At 42.7% G+C, this 21,942-nt stretch overlaps 1 protein-coding gene across 22 annotated transcripts in view, besides 3 other annotated features; it reads right to left on the reverse strand.

Annotated features, from left to right (window-relative positions):
- Positions 1-21,942, reverse strand: part of COBL (cordon-bleu WH2 repeat protein) — a 300,598-nt gene that overhangs the window by 249,791 nt on the left and 28,865 nt on the right. The gene's annotated exons all lie outside the window — the stretch shown is intronic.
- Positions 7,666-8,167: an enhancer, noted in NCBI's record as "H3K4me1 hESC enhancer chr7:51341365-51341866 (GRCh37/hg19 assembly coordinates)". NCBI's record gives its function as "activates a minimal SCP1, AML or CMV promoter by ChIP-STARR-seq in primed H9 embryonic stem cells {active_cell/tissue: H9 hESC(primed)}" and the evidence as "EXISTENCE:reporter gene assay evidence [ECO:0000049][PMID:30033119]".
- Positions 8,168-8,667: an enhancer, noted in NCBI's record as "H3K4me1 hESC enhancer chr7:51341867-51342366 (GRCh37/hg19 assembly coordinates)". NCBI's record gives its function as "activates a minimal SCP1, AML or CMV promoter by ChIP-STARR-seq in primed H9 embryonic stem cells {active_cell/tissue: H9 hESC(primed)}" and the evidence as "EXISTENCE:reporter gene assay evidence [ECO:0000049][PMID:30033119]".
- Positions 9,103-10,099: an enhancer, noted in NCBI's record as "H3K4me1 hESC enhancer chr7:51342802-51343798 (GRCh37/hg19 assembly coordinates)". NCBI's record gives its function as "activates a minimal SCP1, AML or CMV promoter by ChIP-STARR-seq in naive H9 embryonic stem cells {active_cell/tissue: H9 hESC(naive)}" and the evidence as "EXISTENCE:reporter gene assay evidence [ECO:0000049][PMID:30033119]".

Consider the following 21,942-nt stretch of genomic DNA (forward strand, 5'->3'; position numbering starts at 1 on the left):
TACAACCTTAAAAGCCCCCTGGGATTAACATAATATTTAATAATATTCATTACACAGAAAGGCAAATTCTGATGTTTTAAGTAATTAGTGACACATGCTGCTAAAACATTTTAATTTTGTAAGAAACAATCACATGTGGGCAAATTAATTACAAAACAATAAATTATCTCATCTTCTGTATGGACACTAAATACATGGTAAAATATAGATTGAAAACTAATTGTATTATAGGCAAAAGCTGCTGTCATTAACTTAATTTCTGACTTTTTAGTTTTGCTTTAAAGAGCAACTGATTGCCAGGTGCAGTGGCTCAAGCCTATAATCCCAGCATTCTGGGAGGCCGAGGCAGGTGGATCACCTGAGGTCGGGAGTTTGAGACCATCCTGACCAACATGGAGAAACCCCATCTCTACTAAAAATACAAAATTAGCTGGGCATGGTGGCGCATTCCTGTAATCCCAGCTATTCAAGAGGCTGAGGCAGGAGAATCCCTTGAACCCGGGAGGCAGAGGTTGCGGTGAGCCAAGATCGCACCATTGCACTCCAGCCTGGGCAACAAGAGCGAGACTCCATCTCAAAACAAAACAAAAAAAAGATCAACTGATTCTTATTTTAAATGACAAAGTGAGAAACGGCTTTTCTGGCTGCTGCTTGCAAGTACTTCTACACAAATAACATGGCATATGCAAGGGCTGTCCCTGTTTCCCACAAATGGACGGAAGGAAAGGACTCTACGACACAAGCACCCACACACAGTTTTTTTCCACATGTTTTTTGAGTGCTATGGACACCTAGACCAAGAAACCTAACATTTTTATTGAGATAACCCAATTCAGGGTTGGGAGGAGTTGCCCTTGGGAGGAGTCCCAAGGCAAATTTGCAAAATGAGTCCCATTTTTATATTCCCTATTAACTTACATTTCGACATCAATGCCCTCTGCTTCTTAATAACATACGATTACAAATAAAAAGCATATAACATTGTATCATGGTCAGGATTTCCACAGGGCTTTGCGATAAACCCAAAAGGTATCAAAGATACCCTCTCAATTTTTAGAAATCTCCGCTCACCACCACTCTCCCACCGCATAAATACAGAGGCCACACAAAGGCCCATGTTGGAAGAAAACCTTGAACAAAAATAAGTATCTCATTTACTTTGATTTTTCAGTAAATAAAAATCTGAAACCCTTGTTATTTCTACATTTTTAACAATGCCAAACCTGGTACCCTTTCCCAAACCCCTGCTGTAAAAAACTTTATGAAAGATTTTCCTCTGTTCAGGCAGGCACTCTGGCCTGAGGAGTGTCAGGCCTTCTGAGGCACACAGATGAGCCAGAACAAAACCAGCGCAGGACCTGACTCACAGCCACCTGCACTGGTGAGCAGGGGCTCAAGAGAACCTCCACAGCACAGCCCCATCCGCAAAGACTTGAGGCCTCTACTTCCATTTTCATACATTCATTTATTTGTATTTTTATATATATATATATTACTAGTATATTGAGAGTATATTATACATGTTACTAGTATATTGAGAACATTACAGAAATTACACACAAAAAAAGAACTTTTGTTGTTGTTGTTTTTGAGACAGGGTTGCTCTCTGTCACCCAGGCTGGAGTACAGTAGCGCAATCTCAGCTCACTGCAGCCTCTGCCTCCCAGTTTCAAGCAATTCTCGTGCCTCAGCCTCCAAGAAGCTGGGATTACAGGCACCTGCCACCATGCCCAGCTAAGTTTTGTATTTTTAGTAGAGGCGGGGTTTCACCATGTTGCCCAGGCTGGTCTCAAATTCCTGACCACAAGTGATCCGCCTGCCTCAGCCTCCCAAAGTGCTGGGATTACAGGTGTGAGCCACCACACCCGGCCAAAAAAAGAACTTTGGAAAGAAACAACAAATATTCTCTTCCCAAATTTATTCACTTCCTCCTTATCCCAAATGGATCACGAAGCACACCCGGGGGCCTGTACCTCCACTTTTGAGACCACGGCTCTATTACTTTATCAAGTGGAAGATCCCTGCCCTGGTATCTGGTATTGGTGGTAGAGATGAGGACTGGACAGCCTTCCTCCCTCCTGCCCTGCAGGCGCTGTGTCCGCTGCGGGTGTCCTCAGTTCCACGTGCCGTCTGGGGCACTGTTCTCGCCCACTCTCAATAAAGAAATCTCTTCCTCAGCACTCCAGGAAGGCAAATATGTAACAAGGAATTTTATTATGAATGAGTGTTACAATAGATCCAGGACTAGAAGAGAGCATGATCACTATTCCCAGTAATTTGTCTAAAAGGAAAATGCAATCAATGCACCCTGCACCATGGTAACCCTCCACTGTGGGAAAAATCACCTCTGCCAAAGCTCTGCCCTCTGGACCCTCAAGCTCCTTCACTAACAGCCTCACCATCCACCCACTAGACACTTCCACCCACTGGACACTTAATTCCTCCTCAAAAAGTCTTTCCTACCACCCTTCCTGCAACGCAGATGAACGCTGAGAAGAAGAGTTACTAAGCATTCACTCTGTGCAAGGCAGCGTTAGGTATGTTTAAGGGATGTGATCTTCACAGCCCTGTGAAGCAGGTGGATCACAGAGTAATTCCCTTTTGCAGATGTGGAAATAAGAACACAGGTGTCTTTATCAGGCTCCCCAGCTGGGCACGGTGGCTCATGCCCATAACCCCAGCATTTTGGGAGGCCAAGGTAGGTGGATCACAAGGTCGGGAGTTCGAGACCAGCCTGGCCAATATGGTGAAACCCCGCTTCTACTAAAAATACAAAAATTAGCCAGGCATGGTGGCAGGTTCCTGTAGTCCCAGCTACTCAGGAGGCTGAGGCAGGAGAATCGCTCGAACTCAGGAGGTGGAGGTTGTGGTGAGCCAAGATCGCGCCATTGCACTCCAGCCTGGGTGACAGAGTGAGACCCCGTCTCAATAAAAAAAAAAAAAAAAAAAAAATTCAGGCTTCCCAGAAGACACAGCTGGAGCTGGAGCAGTTGTGCCAGCCCTTCAGCAGGGAGTGCACCCCAGGGAAGCGAGGTTGATGGAGGGAGGCCAGCCAGAAGGCGCCAGCACCCAGCCACCCGCTGCAGCAGGCTCTGTATAGCTGCTGTGTCCCCAAGCACTCCTGGGATGGGGAGTGCTTCTGTGTCCAAATTGCAGCCCCCCACCAAGCCTCAGAACTGCTGGATCAAAACTGCAGGGAAGGAAGGACGGGTACAAAAGCCCATGTGTTGGGGATCTTTTCCTCACAATGGGAGGGCAGAAGTGGCTCATTTTTCCTTTAGGGGCCTGGCTGAATAAGCCAGGATGCATCCACACAGGGGACAGAAAACAGTACAGCAGTGGGGTCCTAAGTCACATCATGCATCAGTGACCCAGGTAAGAAGGAGATGGGAGGCCAGCACTTGTCATGCCGTGCTGCTGGTAAGTGGCACAGGGTCCAGACGCAACTGCCACGCAATGTCCCTCACCTCCAGAGTCGGGCACTAGGCAGGTCTGGGTGGTGCATCGGCAGGACGTGGGGGGCAGAGGTGTGCTCAGGAGCGTGGGCTCCATGTCACAGCCCTGCCCCTGCTCCGGCCACTGCTCTCCTTGCCCGTGGCTGCTTCCAGGTAAACACACAAGATACACTCAGCTTAAACCAGAGGACAGCAAATGCCACAGCCACTTGGTTTCACCATAACGACCCTGTATTTTATGAAGGCCAGAGTGAGGAAAGGGAAACTGCTTTTCTAGAGGTTCTTTATAGACCCTTTCTATTAGTTTTCTCAGCCTCAATTAGAAAATTGATGTTCACAGTTACACCAATGCTCCCCATCCAAGAAACCCTGGTCAAGAGACAAGAGGTGCTCTGTCTCCAGACTGAGGACGTGGCAGGAGAAAGCACCAAAGAAAATCCTGAGCCTGCTGGCGGCCATACTGACACAGGGAATAACACCCCCACCTGTGCACAGCTTCTCCTTCCCTCTAGCTGAACTTCATCAAGTCAGCAAGTTAAGAAAATACAGAGGCTCTGAAAAGTTCCCAACGGACATGTTTTCAGCTGCGGCCTATTTATATGCCCTGAAATGGACTCAGGTTCTAAAGCACCTGTGTTGTTGCATGAGCACTTTTGCCAGGCATAACCTGTGACAGGAGCTGAATCTGGACACCTGTCTGAGCACACAGGGCTTGGCTGGAGCGAAATAAAATGCACCCTTTTAAGAGGGAAATAGAAGATGTTTACCCTAGAAAGATTTCTTTATACGGCCCAAATATAGCAAAACTCAGAGCCAAGACTGGCTCTGAGGTGCTGAATAGTGGTAGTTCCGTTCAAGAAAGATTTCAAAACAAGATCTCCTCCAAAGATGCAAATTCTTGGTTAGAGTCCTGAATTTCCTCAATATGCTCATTCATTCACATATCTATGATGTGCCCACTACGTGCCAGGCACTGTTCTCAGGAGCCTCGTGGGGAAGAGAGGGTAAGGGAACATAGGGTGAATTTTGGCAGAAGACAAAAACATCCGGCTTCCTTACACTTAAATAATTTTTTAAAGACACAATGTTTTTTCACTGGATAAACAGATAATGCAAATACAAATATTCCTGGGAGAGACAACATAAATTTAATCACCATCATCAGATGCTACCTTGAGACTGGACTTTAAAGGCAGAATATTTCTAGAGAAAACAGAGGTGCTAAAAGGAGAAATAATAAATACGGACACTAAAGTTATGCAAAAAGAATTCTGAAAGACCCAAAGGTCTTTTTTTCAAAATTGACTTGATGGCAATTTGCTCAATAATTACTATGTGCCTAAAATACATTTTATTATTCGACTTAAAAAAAAATCAAAACCAAAAAAAAACAAGAAATCAGATTTTAGAAATTTGCAAGTATGTATGTTTGTTCCTGGTACATAGTACTGACATATTAACTTATTTTTGTTCAATTTAATTATTCCTATACAGACAGTAGGGGGGTCATGAGCTAAGGAGTGTGTACAAGCCAGTCTTCCTCCTCTGCATCAACCTAAATCCTCTACATCCTTTAGGGTCTGCACAGGCCCTGCTACTCCCAGGAATGCTTGGGACAGGCCGCCAGGCCTGGTGTATCTCCACGCTGGGGAGTCTGTGTATTGTTTCACCAGCCTCAGTGCGTGTCACCTGTCCATGGCTGCTTTCTCCATATAATGGCAGGGTTGCGTCGTCACCAGAAACACAGGGCCACAAAGCTGCAAATATCTGCTGATTCCTGACCCACAGGATAAAGCAGGAAAGCTTGCAGGGCACACCATGCTCTCCTGAACCTAAACCTAGACTGGCTCCTGCTCAATGCACCACTTCATTCCACACTTTCCTCATTGCTTTTTGTAAACCCACTGGCTGGTCCTTGGAGCTGCTGGGCTACTCCTTAGTAAGCCCCAACACTTCTGTTCTCACCAGTTTGGGGATATTCTCACCAGGAGGCAACTACTTACGTCAGTCACGGTTAACTGCTTTAATCCCACTAGTTAATTTTACAGAAGGTAATGGGTGCACAGAGAAAGCGTAGCATGAGTCTCATGAAACCTACATTAAATATTTAAGAAAAACAAAGGTGAGCTGCTTTATAAAATGAGTAAATCGATAAAAGTTTACTTAGGTGATGGAGAGGAAACTGAAAAAGACTGAGGAGGGAAAAAACTCATCAGTTTCAGGATTCTGCACTCAGATTTTAATCACAATTATTTGCATGCTCTTAGCTGGCTTTAAAGAAACTGAAACCAGTCGGACACAGTGGCTCACACCTGTAATCCCAACACTTTGGAAGACCGAGGCAGGAGGATCACTTGAGGTCAGGAGTTCTAAGACCAGTTTGGCCAACATGGTGAAACCCCATATCTATGAAAAATACAAAAATTATGGGCATGGTGGCGTGTGCCTGTAATCCCAGCTACTCGGGAGGCTGAGGCAGGAGAATCGCTTGAACCCAGGAGACAGAGGCTACAGTGAGCCAAGATCGTATCACTGCACTCCAGTCTGGGTGACAGAGCAAGACTGTCTCAATATAAATAAATAAATAAACAAACAAACTGAAACAATGAATTCTGGACATGGCCCTCTATCAAAAGATTGCTCAATACATGTAAATGCATATTTTTTAAGCATTTAACATTTTAAACTCACTCATTTAACTAAGTGAGCAATCTTCAGTGCCAATCAGGGCACATAAATGGTTTCTACTATTGCATGCTTCAGTTCCCTCCGCTCCCTGTTGTTTCATACAAGTACACCCCACTCAAGGTATGATTTTTTTCCAGTAGGCTAGATTTTATCCCCATTTTGCAGATTATAACATTGAGCTTGGGTTTTAATAACTTCGCAAGGTCTCACAATTCATAGTGTATGTTTCATCCCAGGCAGTCCGATTCCAAGAGGCAATCCTCATCAACTACTCTATTATACTCACTCCAGGGAAGCCAGAACTACAAAATAGTTAAAATTAGAAGAATCATCAGTATTTATCTCCCTATTTATCACTCCATCATGGGCGACGCAAGAAAAAAATCATTTAAATTTGGAGCTTTAAAAAGGAAAATTCAGAATATTGGGAACATGCACACTCAGGAAAGAGACTAATCCATGGCTCTTCAAGTTCCAATCTAGATCTGAAAATATCAGTGAAATTGCGCTTGGACCTCTAAAACACTCAAAGAGGCAAAGGGTTGCACAAATTGGACACACAGGGCCTGAGGCATTTCTTCAAATGATGTTTTTCTGGCATTTCCACACCAAAGCTTGTACTTTGGGAGTCTCCCCATGTCTAAATTAAAGCCCAAGACAAGCCATTGGGCTAAGACATGTAATTCACAATTCTAGGGTCACAATTCTGCTCTTATCTGCAGGTAAAGACAACTTAATACTACACAAGTCCAGTCATTTCTCCCCCTCTCTATGTCTGCGTTTTCATCTATGGAACACAATACCAACAACAACAACAACAACAACAACAACAACAACAACAAAAACATCCTTCTCTTAAGGAATAAAAGTCAAATAATAGGGCATTGAAAAGTTACCTCAAAGCCAGGCGCAGTGGCTCATGCCTATAATCCCAGCACTTTGGGAGGCCAAGGTAGGAGGATCACTTGAGGTCAGGAGTTCAGGATCAGCCTGGCCAACATGGTGAAACCCCACCTCTACTAAAAATACAAAAATCAGCCGGGCATGGTGGCACATGCCTGTAATCCCAGCTACTTGGGAGGCTGAGGCAGGAGAATCGCTTGAACCTGGAGGCAGAGGTTGCAGTGAGCTGAGATCGTGCCACTGCACTCCAGCCTGGGCAACAGAATAAGACTCCATCTCAAAAAAAAAAAAAAAAAAAGAAAAAGAAAAGAAAGTTATCTCAAAATACAAAGCTGCATACTTTGTGAATTTTTAATGTATATTCTAGCTTGTTACAAAGGTTATGTGTGGTGAACAGTAGCTACCACTATCTAAAATTCCTCATTTACCAAAAAACAAAAACAAACCCATATCTGCAGTGACATTCCTAAGGAAGTCATCATTGACATCAGGGAATGAAGCCTTGAAGCTGACTTACCTTGTGACACCTGCTTCTGCCGTTAGACTGAAAATTAGTCCTCAATCATCAGCTCTTGCCTGTCTGAGTGACTGGACAGCTACATCTGCAGCATATTTATAGCAGCTGGATCTATCTGGCATTTAAAACTCAAGATTCTAAAAATGAATGACAAGTTCTACCAGAGAGACAAACTAATTTTACCTATTTGAAAATAGCTAACTTGCCTAAATTGTTCAATAATTAAATACAATTCCCAAAATACTTAAACACTTCAGTGTTTTGGGAATGCCAACGCCTCATAAAACCTATTTTAGGTGTTTATATTTTGAAGTGTCATCGAACCGCCACAGTTCACGTACCCAGTGCTGTTTTCTCTGGTGACGCCAACTCCCCCTGTAGCAGTTGGGTCCCCCTCACCCATCAAATGCGATCTTCTTCAGTCATCTGTTCTGGGCTCTCCTCCCTTCCCTGTAATGCTCTCCTTAGACCACAGGACATCGTAGCCTCGAATACCACCATGCTCACAGTTCCCCCCAGTCCATGCCTTAAGTGAGGCCCTCGCTCCCCTTCCCCAGCACAGGACCTGCAGCTGCCAGCTGTGCATCGCATGGGCCGCCTCCCGCTTCACTCCCCACACGGTAGACACACAGCACTTCAAACTCACACCCAGCCTTGCTGCAACGCCTTCCCTCCCAAACACACCTTCCCTCCCAAACACACTGCACATGACCCTCACTGCTCGCAGGAGAAGAGCACCCTGTCCTTTGTCCTCCAGTGCTGACTGTATCACCGCCAAAATCTTGAATGTGTCCTCCTGGGCATGGTCCTGAGGCAGCTCTAGGTGAGCTCCCCTTCATCTGTTTGTCTCATCAACACAACAGGCTCCTGACTGCATTCCACTTCTTAGTCTTTGCTTTCAAAGAAACCAGCCAAGCTGACCATTCATTATCCATGAAAGAAGGAAAGAATTGTACCCCACAGAATGGATGTCTGGTGCTGGGCAGAGAAGACCACTTTTTCACAGATGCAGTGACTTTACTATGGAAGGCTGAGCCTCAGGAGCTCAGCTGAAATACTCTAGCCCATCATTAAGCACACTTTTGTGCGTAGGCTCAAAATGTCCTTTCCTATTTGTGCAGTGGAGGATTTTCATTCAATAAATGACTTTCATATGAAAACTCCAAGTTCAGGGATGCCATGCCTTGTACAACAGACGTATTCTAGAAAACAACAGTGTAAGTATTAATTTTTGTAAACCAGTCATGTTTTAAAATATAAGATAGAAGATCAGCATTTGGGAATCTGAGATACTTTCAGGGTTTTCTGAGATACTTTCAGTAAAAAGAATTCTCTGATAGCAATCATTTGATTTGATTTTTAGGTCTGCATATGTACGCACATGGCTTTGTCTGAAGTGGGAAACACCGATATTAACAAATTAAAATACAAATCATCTGGCCGTGCAATTCAACTCTTTGCTGCCTGAACCTCCATCTTCCAGGGAGACAGAGCAGTGAGAAGCAACAAAGACAGGGCTGAAGAGGACGGGAGAGGCTCAGGACAGGTGAGGGACGCACGTGGAGCCGCTCCATGTTTGTTCTGCTCTGCACATGAGAGAGAGGGGTCACCCCTGCGGGCTGGAGGGGAGAGGCCCAAGGGCTGGCTGTGGAGGGGACAGTTGCACAGTGTCCAGGCTGCCCTCCTGCAAAGGACCTGAGGGAGAGGCAAGAACAAGGCTGATTTGTATCCAAATTTTGAGGCACAAGTCCCCTCCATCCTCCTGGTTTTTTCCCTCTGCCAGTAATGCTGTGCGAAATTGAAGAAAGTTCTATGTCAAGGTTCAGTACTCCCTTTTTACAACGAGGATTTGTTTTTGATTGCTGGGGAACCACTGCCTCCAGTTCTGTCTGACAGGGCCTGGCTGTTCTGAGATCCCAGCTCCACGGCCACATGTGGTCACCGCAGCCCATGCAGAGCAGGTCTGGGGGGAATTCTCCCCTGGGTCTCTCTCAAGGCACCCTCAGCAACAGTGCACTCCAGCTCCACCTGCCACCACCACCACCGCCACTGGCATCAGCTGCCACCAGCCACCACCAGCCGCCACCAACCACCACCAGCCGCCACCAGCCACCACCAGCCGTGACTGCTCTTGTGAGCTCCGCACGCAGCCCACCCAGGAGGCCTGTCCCAACAACGGTGAAAACACAGAGCCCAGAAGGCTGGCGATTCCACCTTCCCCTCACAGTGGAAAATCAAGGCCCCTGTCTCCATGCTGATTGATGAGAATGTTTCCACAGCCTGATTAGGGGCTGTAGGCCTCTCTCTCCCCTGCTTGTTTTCTTTTCCTCTGACCTGCTCTGCCGGGGTTTTGTGAGGTTGTCTGTTTTAATAAAGAAGCCCTTATCTTCCTTATATTTACTCTTCAATGGAAATGAGCCTCATCCTTTTTCCTACAAAAGCCCTTTGGCTTTTCTAAATGATAAACATTGGGGGAAGAATTGTTTGAAGAAACAAATATCAAGCTCATAAATGAAAATGTGCACTGAGGCTCTGGGACCATGCAACTTCTTCTGTTTACAATAACACAGGAATTCTAAGGAGCCCATTTTAATTGGCATTCACAGATATGGGCTGGGTGACAGCACTCATGCACAGCACATTTTGAAGCTGTTCTCAGACATTTCTTAATCCATGAGTAACTGTTTCAGGGAGGCTGGGGACTGTCGTGGCAGTAAAAGGCAGCAGCACCAAGAGCTATGTAAGTTGGTCCTGCTGTGGCTTCCTGGGAGCCCTGTCCTGGGGTTCCTTCTGGGAAAGGCGAATGGAACCTGAGCTTCTATGAAAGGAGTCACCCTGTGGAAGCTCCTCCGGCCGGGGACGGGCCATACCCAGGGACTGCACACAGGTGGCCTTGCCTGCCACAAGCCCTATCCACTGTGGGCTTTCTTGCTTTTCAGGCTTTTCCTTCCCCTCTTGATAATGCCAGTCCTTGTCATTTATCGTTCAAACCTTCCACAAGCTTTAAGGAACACCTCCAACCCGCCAGGGACTGCACAAGGTGTGGGGGATGAAAGGAGACACAGACACAACCCACTGCCCGCAGTAAACACTGCCAGGGCTGAGCTGGGGTGGCTGGGAGCTGCAGCTGTGTGGGGCAAAGGGGAGATGTGAACAGGCCTTGCAGAGTGAGCAGGCAGGTAAGAAGGAAGACACCTCCAGGAGATGGGAGGAAAACCCAAGGGCATTCTGGAAAGCTGGACGCTGGTGTTGGCTGGCCCTTAAGGGTGCCTGGGCCCAGAAAGGGAAGAGTTCAGAGGTGGCTTTTACCATACAAGGGAGAGGAGTCAGCTGAGGCTCATAAGATTTGACCAGCTAAGAGGTGAAATGTAGGAGAGGGCACCACAGAAAAGGAGATGCATCTGGGAGCAGCGAACACACAGATGGTGAGGGCCAGAAGACAATGACACAGCCCTCCTGTCCTCACACCAGCTCCACTGAGGCCCCATCATCAACCTCTACCAAAGCAGCACCTGGAGGAAAGGATCACAGGCCAGTCATCCTTCCCAGAGCCAGGCCAGGGATGCTCATTGCCAAGGCACAGAACAAGGCCTTCCCTGTTTCCATGACGGCCACACATGCGCAGGGACCCAAGCCAATGACCGACTAAGTTAAAATGGGCTAGGTCTGCTCTCACGGAAGCCTGAGGGTGAGTTCATGAATATGTGTGCCTTGCTCTAAGAGAGAAGGTATGTGTGTGCATCTGTGTGTGTGCATGTGTGCATGCAGAAGTGTAAATACACACATGTGCTTGTGAGGGAAGGAGAGAGAGAATAGAGCAAACACACCTGTTAACATCTGTGGCATCTAGCTGAAGACGACGTGGGAATTCTTTGTTATTCCAAAATAAAAAGTTAAAAAATATATCTTTAAAAATTGACGACAGGACTGTTGAGCACACAGTGGTAATCTCTCTCTGATACTTCAGCTCACACGCAGCAAGAGTCGGTGCCCTCATCCCGCCCACCCGACTTTGGGCTAATTCATGGTGTGTATATTAGACACTAACAAATAGCAAGTTGGACAGCGGGCTAGAGGAAGGGATGGACGGGCTGCTAGAGAGATACAAGGGTGGAATACTCTGCCCATTGTAGTTTCTACACTGCCAAATGGAGGTGGTAACAATGCCGCCCCTACAGTGTTGCTACAGGGATCCAGCACGGCAGGGCATTGTGAGAGCAGGGGGCACAGAGCCAGGTAAGAACACTCAAGAGGCACAGCAGATGGACAGACAAGTCATGTCACTTGTAGCCCAGACTCTCTAAATACTTTCTGACCACCCAACAATATTCCCAAGCTGCCTCTGAGGAACTAGCAAGTAAGAGAGGACATATCTGTCAACATCATAGGGCAGATTCATTTCGTTATTTACTGATCTCTTCTCTGTGCCTGCGTGAAGTACAGCAGAGAGACACAACAAATCAACAGCGGGCCCCTAGGGACGTCTCAACTACAATCATCTCTCTGAATCATATCTCTGAACTAAAAACATAGTGGCCAGCCTTGAGTGCCAGCTCTGCAAATACTAGAACGCAATACCCGTATCAAATGATAAATAAATTTAGAAGCTCCACATTCACAGAGACTCCCACACACATGCACACCAAACAGGGTGAATCTAATCTGGAGATTAGCTGAATTGAGAAGCCGTCCCAAGGAAGAGCATGCTCAGTGAGAGCCCAGAGCCAGGTGGACAAGGCACCCTCATCTATGATCATGCAGGCCCCTCCTCCCAGCTGCCTGGGGAGACAAGCATGCTATATTTAGACAGGATCTTTTTTTTTTTTTTTTTTTGAGACACAGTCTCACTCTGTCGCCAGGCTGGAGTGCAATGGCGCGATCTCGGCTCACTGCAACCTCTGCCTCCCATGTTCTAAGTAATTCTCCTGCCTCATCCTCCCAAGTAGCTGGGATTACAGGCGTGTGCCACCACGCCCAGCTAATTTTGTATTTTTATTAGAGTCGGGGTTTCACCATGTTGGCCAGGCTGGTCTCGAACTCCTGACCTCAGGTGATCTACCCACCTCAGCCTCCCAAAGTGCTGGGATTACAGGCGTGAGCCACGGCACCTGGCCTAGACAGGTTCTTGACTCAAGCCTCCAAATCCAGGCAGTGATAGACCAGCCCCACCATGTGCCCTTCTACCAAAAGCAAAAATAACAGCACACTTTTTTACAGTATGAAAATGACACCAATCATCTAGAGAACAGGAAAATTAAAATCCCCCAACGTGTAGCATCTGCTTTTCCAGACGATTTCAGTTTGGAGATAACTGTCAATTACAGGAACAACAAAACTACAAAACACACCCAGCACAATGCACATTGTGACTAATCACAGCACCCACGCAGCAGGCGGCAGGTGGCCGGGGAAATGCTTTTCTCCTAAGACACTTGCAGTCCTGTAAGGAGTGATACAGCTGTTGTCATACTCAAATTACCATCAGGGCCTGCCCTGTGTACTAGTCCTGCACTGACAGTGAATAATCCTATGGCTTGGCTTTCTAAAAACCCAGTGATACACAGAGAGGCTGCCTGACAAATGTATGGGAAAGGCGTGGCACACATTTTAAATTCATCATGAAGTTTCAGCATCTTTCAAAGTAGCTACACTAAATCCCTGGTCATAAGGGATATAATCCCAAAAATGTATGGAAGAAGCTAATTAAGAGAGCCATGACTAACTACTAAAGACTAAAGGGAATGGGTGGCATTTACTCCATGTACTTCCAACGTGCATTATACTTTCTTTAATAATTCTGTTTCCTCTTTGTTATTAAATAAATCACCTGAAATTTTTAACTATATTCACCAGGTTCTCCAATTATTTTAATATGAAATCAACTGGCACATTTTTCTAAAATAGACTTTTTTCTTTTAGCAGTTTTAAGTTCAAAGCAAAGTTGAGAGGGAGGTGCAGAGATTGCCCGTATTCCCTCTGACCTTACACATGCAGAGCCTCCCCGACAACCCACGCCCCACCAGACTGGAACATCTGTTGCCACTGATGAACCTCTGTGGACACATTATTATCACCCAGCGTCCACAACCTACATTAAGGTTCACCTGTGGTGTCGCACATTCTGTGGGTTAGGACAAATGTACAATGACACGTATTCATCATCATAGTATCATACAGAGTATTTTCATTTCCCTAAAAATCCTCTGTTCCTGCTCTTTCCCCCTCCTGACCCCTGGCAACAGCAAACACTGATCTTATCTTGCCTTTTCCAGAATGTCACAGAGTTGGAATCATACAGCATGTGGCCTTTTCAGATTGGCTTCTTTCACTTGGTAACATGTATTTAAGGTTTTTCCATGTCTTTCTATGGCTTGATGGCTCATTTCTTTTTAGCATTAAATAATATTCCATTGCCTGAATATAACAGGAACATGCACTTTATAAGAAAAATCATTTAGATGGAATAACACATTGTGCCCTCTCTCCTCCACATAGAGCAGCAAAAAAAATCTGGCCAGAATGCAAGGAACAGCTATTTGATGACTCTGAGAAGTTGGGATTAGAGACCAGAATTCGAAGTACCACGAAAACAGCACTCAGTTTAACATTTTTTTTTTCCCAATCCTGGATTCAATGCAGCCTGAAACCTGGGCAGTGGGCAATGGCTTAGACAGAGAGAGCTACAAGAGAAACCTTCTAGTGCTGGGCTAAAGAGAAGGGAATGGGTCCCCTAATGTTTAATGAGGAGGGAGAATTCTCTATTATGCTCATCTCCCTGCTCCTATGAGCCCCAGTCCACAAGCAGTCCTGAGGTGGCAGAGTGGGTGACAGCAACAGTGGCAGCACAGGGACTCGCAAAGCTTCAAACACAAAAAGAGGAAAACTCTTCTCTCGGATCAGAGGAGCTGTGGTCCCAAGAGGATGGAGTAAACCCCACTGCTTTTTTCTCCTTTCTCTTTTCTGCTGCTGCTTTGCCCCGTCTGTAGGTGCAGTCACAGGATATGTGCAGCAAAGCAGGGTAAATAAAGCCTAGTTTTCTGGCTGGAGCACAAAAAGGAAAGGTCTAGGGAAGTAGAAAGCACTGAGACACTTTGGAGAGGGAGGAACAACATAAAGTCATTTGTGAACTCCTGGGTGCGTCCCCAAACTGCACACGTATGGATCTGGTCCTGGGTGGCTTTAAGAACTGAACAGACCACCACCCAAGTTCCCAGACTGGCCACCGGTAGCAGAAACATGAGAAGATCTGAAGAGCACTGTACAGACTTTCAAACTTAACTACCATTGAAATGACAAGCACAAAGGGCCCAGCAGAAATTTAAACACGAACCCAACTAGGTCAATTGCCAGATTTAAAAATTATATATGTCAACATTCTCCATAAGCTTTAAATAAGAGCCAGAGTACCATAATGAAATAGTCAAAATGTCTAGGAAATAATAGAGGTTTACAAAATGACTAGGAAATAATACAGGTTATAAAAATGCTCTAAGTTAAGGGCAAGAACGCTTGAAATGAATGAAAACTTAGTAAGTCTTGGCAAAGAAATAGAAGATATAACGAAGAAACAAAAGAAAATTTTAGATTTGAAAATACAATAACTAAAATGAAAAACTCAAGGAATGGGCTCAACAGCAGACTCACTGACTTTGCATACAGGTCAACAGAAATCATCTAATCTGAACAACATAAAGAGGAAGGACTGTAAAAATGAACAGGCATAGGGACCTATGGGGCAATACCAACAGGTCTAATTTTCATGTCAATGGGATCCTAGAAAGAAAGGAAAAATAATGTGGTACACAAAACATATTTCACAAATTAACAGAAAACTTTTCAAATTTCACAAAACTTCCTGAAAGAAAACAGATTCAAGTAGTTCAGCAAACCCTATACAGGATGAGTACAAAAAAAGCCCACACTCTGGGACATCATTATCAAAGTGCTTAAAACTAAAAACACGGAAAAAACCTTGAGAATCACCAAAACAAAGTGACATTTCTTAAATGGAAATAATCTGAATGACTACAGAAACTACAATGGCTAGAATGAAGTCGAAACAACTTTTAAAGTACTGAGATAAAAAAAAAAAAAACTGTAAACCATGTTACTATATCCAGTAAATATATCCTTCAAGTATGACAGTGAAACAAAGATATTCTCAAATGAAGGCAAAGAGAATTCACTGCCAGCAGGCCTGTTCTAGAATAATTGTTAAAGTAAGTTCTTCAGATAGAATAGAAATAGTATGGAAAGAAAACTTGGAACATGAGGAGGAACAGACATGTTAAACATCTAGGCCAATACATGATTCTTCTTTTTTGAGTTCTTTAAAATGTAGATGTAACACATAACCATGAAGGATACCTATGTAATAGTAAGTTATACTCCACATAAATGGTAAAATACTGATTCTAAGGAGACTGTGAGAAGTTTGATTATTTTAATCCCTAGAAAACCCACGAAAATAAACAAAGGGATATACTAAAAATCCCAGTAGATACATTAAAATAAGATACTAAAAAATCTCAAACAACTCAAAGATTGGAAAGAAGAAACAAGAATGCAAGTCAGGCAACAAAGAAAAAAATAGTTAAATGGTTGATCTAAATCCAAAAATATCAGTAGAGATGATAGGCCATTATCCTTCATTTATGCAAATGATTTGATGTAACGTAATAGTTTAATATAATTATTTAATGTAAATGGTCTAAACAATCCAACTAAAAGACAGATATTATTTAACTACATGCTATCTTCAAAAAACTCACTTTAAATATGATTATGTAGGTGGTTAGAGGTAAACTGATGAAAAACCACACCTACAAATATTACTCAAAAGAAAGCTGGGATGGTTATATTAATATCAAAGTACAGACATCAGACAAATCAAAGAAAATTACCAGGGATAAAGAGAGACATTACATAAAAGAGTCAATTCAACAAGAAGATATAACAATCCTAAACTTCAATACACCTGACAATGAAGCTTTGAAATAGATACAACAACAATGAAATAGATAAAACCACAATTAACTTTTGAGACAATACTCTCTTACAAATCAATACAACTCATACACAGAAAATCAACAGGAATATAGAAGAACTCACAAATACAATCAACCAACTTGATTTAATTGACATTACTAGAATTCTACCCAACTGTACCAGAAAATACATTGTTTTCAACAGCAAATAGAACACTAACCAAGATAGACAATCTCCTGGGACATAAAACAAACCTTACCAAATATAAAAAAAAAAAATTACAAGGCATACAAAAGTATGTTCTCTAACCATACTGAAATTAGACCGGAAATCAGTAACAAAGATAACCATAAAATCTATAAACACTTGGAAATGTAATCATATATGACTACAGAATGCATGGAGAAAGAGAACTCTGAGGGACTTGAGCATACAGCTTTTAAAAATCATGACTGGTGGGATGATGATAAAGAAGTGCTTAGAAGGAAATGTAGAGCATTAACTGCGTATATAAGAGAGGAAAATTCTCAAACTAATCATTTAAACCTCCATTTAAATCAAATTTGAAAAAGTAGAGCAAAACAAACCCAAATCATATACAAGGAAATTGCTGAAACAGAAAAAAGGCAATAGAAAACAATGACCACAAAAGATTTTTTATAATAAATCTGAGAAACCTATAAAAAGAATGACAAAGAAGAGAGAAGACACTAATTACTAACATGAGGAATAAAAAAGAAGATATCACTACAGAGACCACAGACAATACAAGAATAATAAGGGAATGCTATGAACATATCTACACACATAAATTCAGCAACTTTAAATGACACAGATCAATTTCTCAAAAATCACTACCAACATACACTCATTAAAGATTAAATAGATAATTCAAATGTACCCATTTAAAAATTTGAATCTGTAGTTTTTGTTTGTTTGTTTTTTTGTGAGATGGAGTTTCGCTCTTGTTGCCCAGGCTGGAGTGCAGGGGCGCGATCCTGGCTCACTGCTGCCTGTGCCTCCTGGGTTCAAGCAATTCTCCTGCCTCAGCCTCCTGAGTAGCTGGGATTACATGTGCGCACCACCACGCCCAGCTAATTTTTGTATTTTTAGTAGAGACGGGGTTTCACCATGTTGGTCAGGCTTATCTCAAACACCTGACCTCAGATGATCCGCCTGCCTCGGCCTCCCAGAGTGCTGGGATTATAGTTGTGAGCCACCGCATCTGGCCAAATCTGTAGCTTAAGAACATTATGAAAAAAGAAATTTTTAGACCCAGGTGGTTTCACTGGCCAATTTTACTAAGCATTTAAAATGAAAAACAAAAAATGAAAAAACACCAATAACATCAGACAGACACATCACAAGAAAACTATACACAAATATCTCTCATGAATACAGATGCAAAATTCCTCAAAAAAATAGAATCTAGCAATATATAAAAAGAATAGGCTGGGCACGGTGGCTCATGCCTGTAATCCCAGCACTTTGGGAGGCCAAGGTGGGCGGATCACAAAGTCAGGAGATCGAGACCATCCTGGCTAACAGAGTGAAACCTCGTCTCTACCAAAAATACAAAAAAAAAAAAAAAAAAAAAAAGCACTAGGCATGGTGGCGGGTGCCTGTAGTCCCAGCTACTCGGGAGGCTGAGGCAGGAGAATGGTGTGAACCTGGGAGGCAGAGCTTGCAGTGAGCAGAGATTGCGCCACTGCACTCCAGCCTGGGCAACAGAGCAAGACTCCGTCTCAAAAAAAAAAGAAAAAAGAATAATACACTACAATCAAGGAGGTTTAATCTCAGGAATGCAAGGCTGGTTCAATATTTGAAAATCAGTTCATGTAATTCACCATACTGACAGTTTAAAGAAGAAAAATCACATGCGTGTATCAATCAAAGCAAAGACAAGCATTTGATATAATTCAGTATCAACAAGTCTCAGTAAATTAGAAATAAAAAAAAAAAACTTCCTAAGCCTATTAAACTATAGCTATAAGGCCAGGCATGGTGGCTCATGCCTGTAATCCCAGCACTTTGGGAGGCCGAGGCAGGTGGATCATGAGGTCAGGAGTTCGAGACCAGCCTGGCCAACATAGTGAAACCCCATCACTACTAAAAATACAAAAATTAGCTGGGCATGGTGGCATGCATCTGTACTCCCAGCTACTCAGGAGGCTGAGGCAGGAGAATCACTTGAACCCAGGAGGCAGAGGTTGTGGTGAGCCAAGATCGTACCACTGCACTCCAGCCTGGGCAACAAAGCAAGACTCCGTCTCAAAAAAAAAAAAAGGTATAAAAAAACCTACCTCCAATATCAAGCTTCACAAAGAAAGACTGAATGTTTTCCCCTAAGATCAGGAACAAGGTAAGAGTGTGTATTCTCACTACTTCCATCCAACTTTTTTTTTTTTTTTTGAGACAGAGTCTTGGTCTGTCACCCAGGCTAGAGTGCAGTGGCACAATCTTGGCTCACTGCAACCTCTACCTCCTGGTTTTAAGCAAATCTCTGCCTCAGACTCCTAAGTAGCTGGGAAAACAGGAGCGTGCCAGCACACCTGGCTAATTTTTGTATTTTTAGTACAGACAGGGTTTCAACATCTTGGCCAGGCTGGTCTTGAACTCCTGACCTCGTGATCCACCCGCCTCAGCCTCCTAAAGTGCTGGGATTACAGGCATAAGCCACCGTGCCCAGCTATTCAACTTCTTACTGGAAATCTACACTGTACAATAAGAAGAGAAAAACAAATAAAAGGCATCAAATTTGGACAGAGAGAAATAAACCACACCTTTTTTCTAGACATACATAGCAAATCCCAAGGAATCTGCAAAGAAAAAAAAAAAAAGCAAAAATCCTCACAGAATTGATAGAGTTTAAAGCAAGCTCATGGAATACAAAGTCAACACACAAAAATCAAGTATATTTCTATACTAACAATCCATAATTAGGAATTAAAATTTTAAAATGCCATTTACAAACATCTACCAAAAAAGTAAAGTATTTAGGTATAAGTCTAGTTGACATGGGTAAGATTGTATGCTGAGAACTACAAAACACTGGTTAATGAAATCAAAGAAAACCTAGAAAAATGGAGAGACATATATTCATTGGTCAGACGACTCAAATTGATTTACAGATTTAACAAAATTTCAAATTCTCAGCATGGCTGTTTTTGTAGACATAGACAAACTGATCTGAAAATTTATATGGAAAGGCAAAGAAATGAGAAGAGCCAAACTAATTTTGAAAAATAAGAATGTTGGAGGAATCACATTACATAGCCTTAAGACTTACTATAAAGCTACAGTATTCAAGATAGTGTGATATTGGTGAAGCAACAGTTATAAATCAATTAAACAAGACTGACAATCAAGAAATAGATCCACATAAATATATTCAAGTGATTTTTTATGAAGGTGTAAAGGCAATTAAATAGACGAAAGACAGTCTTTTCAACAAATGGTATTATAACAATTGGATACCCTATGCCAAAGAAAAATGAGAAGTAGCAGAAGAACTTCGACCTAAGTCACATGCCTTATACAACAATTAACTCAAAATGGACCACTGATCTAAATGGAAAAGTAAAGGTATAAAACCTTCAGAAGAAACATCCAAGAAAATATTCATGGCCTGGGTTAGGCAAGAGTTCCTAGATATGGTGCCTAAATCATGTCTAGAGCATAAAGTTTAAAAAAAAAAAAAAGCTGTACTTCTTCATAATTAAAATTTTCTACTCTTCCAAAGACACTGCTAAAGAATAAAAACACAAGATACTGACTGAAAAAAAAAAATCTGCAAATCACATATGACCTAGGAGCTGTATCCACATTATATAAAGAAACTTCAAGTAACTAAAAAAAAAAAAGCAAAAAAAAATCTAATTTTAAAATGGCAAAGGACATGAACAGATACTTCTTAAAATAAAATATCCAAACAGCCAAGAAACATATGAAAAAACTGTTCATCATCATTAATCATCAGAGAAATGCAAATCAAAACCACAATGAGATGCCATCTCACACTAGTCAGGACGGTGATTATCAAAAAGTCAAAAAATAACAGATGTTGGTGAGACTGTAGAGAAAGGGGAATACATACACTGTTGATGGGAATGCAAATTAGTTCAGCCACTGTGGAAAGTAGTTTAGAGATTTCTCAAAGAACTTAAGCATAACTACCATTCAATGAAGCAATCCCATTACTGGATATATATCCAAAGGAAAAGAAACCATTGTGCCAAAAAGACACATGCCACTCATATGTTCACTGCAACACTATTCACAATAGGAAAGACATGGAATCAACCTAAGTGCCCATCAATGGTGGACTGGATTAAAAAAATATGGTACATATACACCATCGAATACTACACAGCCATAAAAAAGAATTAAATCATGTCCTTTGCAGCAACATGGATGCAGCTGGATGCCACTATCCTAAGTGAATTAATGCAGGAACAGAAAACCAAATACTGCATGTTGTTACTTACAAGCGGGAGCTAAACATTGAGTACACATGGACACAAAGATGGGAACAACAGACACTGGCGATGTTGGAGGTGGGGAGGAAAGGAGAGGAGCATGGGTACCACACTCACTACCTGGATAATAGGATCAGCCATTCCCCAAACCTCAGCATCCCGCAATATACCCATGTAACAAAACTGCATATGAACCCTCTTATTCCAAAATAAAAGTTGAAAAATCAAAAAATAAAAACAATCCCACAGAATAAGAAAACAAACAACCCTTTGAAAAACAGGCAAAAGACTTAAAAGACAGGCAAAAGATTTCCCCCAAAAAGACATATGGATGGTAAATAAACACATAAAGCTTCGCCATCGTTAGCCTTTAGGTAAATGCAAGTTAAAACCATGATGTAATACTAATATATAAGAATAGCTAAAATGAAACAATCTTAAAAATATCAAGTGCTGGTGAGGATACAAAGCAATTGGAGCTCTCATGCACTGCTGGTGGGAATGCAAAATGGTACAGACACTCTGGGAAACCATTTGGCAATTTCCTAAAATGTTAAACACTTTATGCATATAGTTATGACCCAGCACTCCCACTCCTGGGTATTTACCCTAAAGAAATGAAACTGTAGGTTCACACAAACACCTGTACATGAATGTTTATAGCAGCTCTATTCACACTCACAAAACACTGGAGAAAACCCAGATGTCCTGCAATGGGTGGATGGGTAAACAAACAGTGGTGGACCCATATGATAGAAGATGACTCTGCATAATAACTGGGCTACAAAGTGAGACTCTGTCTCAAAAAAAAAGAAAAAAAAATGAATGAACTACTGACAGTTGACTGAAAGGAGCTGAATCTCAAAGGCAGTATGCTGTGCGAAAGAGGTTAGGTTATACCCTACAATTCCAT

The sequence above is a fragment of the Homo sapiens genome, chromosome 7 (genome assembly GCF_000001405.40).
Source record: "Homo sapiens chromosome 7, GRCh38.p14 Primary Assembly".
Taxonomy (NCBI): Eukaryota; Metazoa; Chordata; class Mammalia; order Primates; family Hominidae; genus Homo; species Homo sapiens.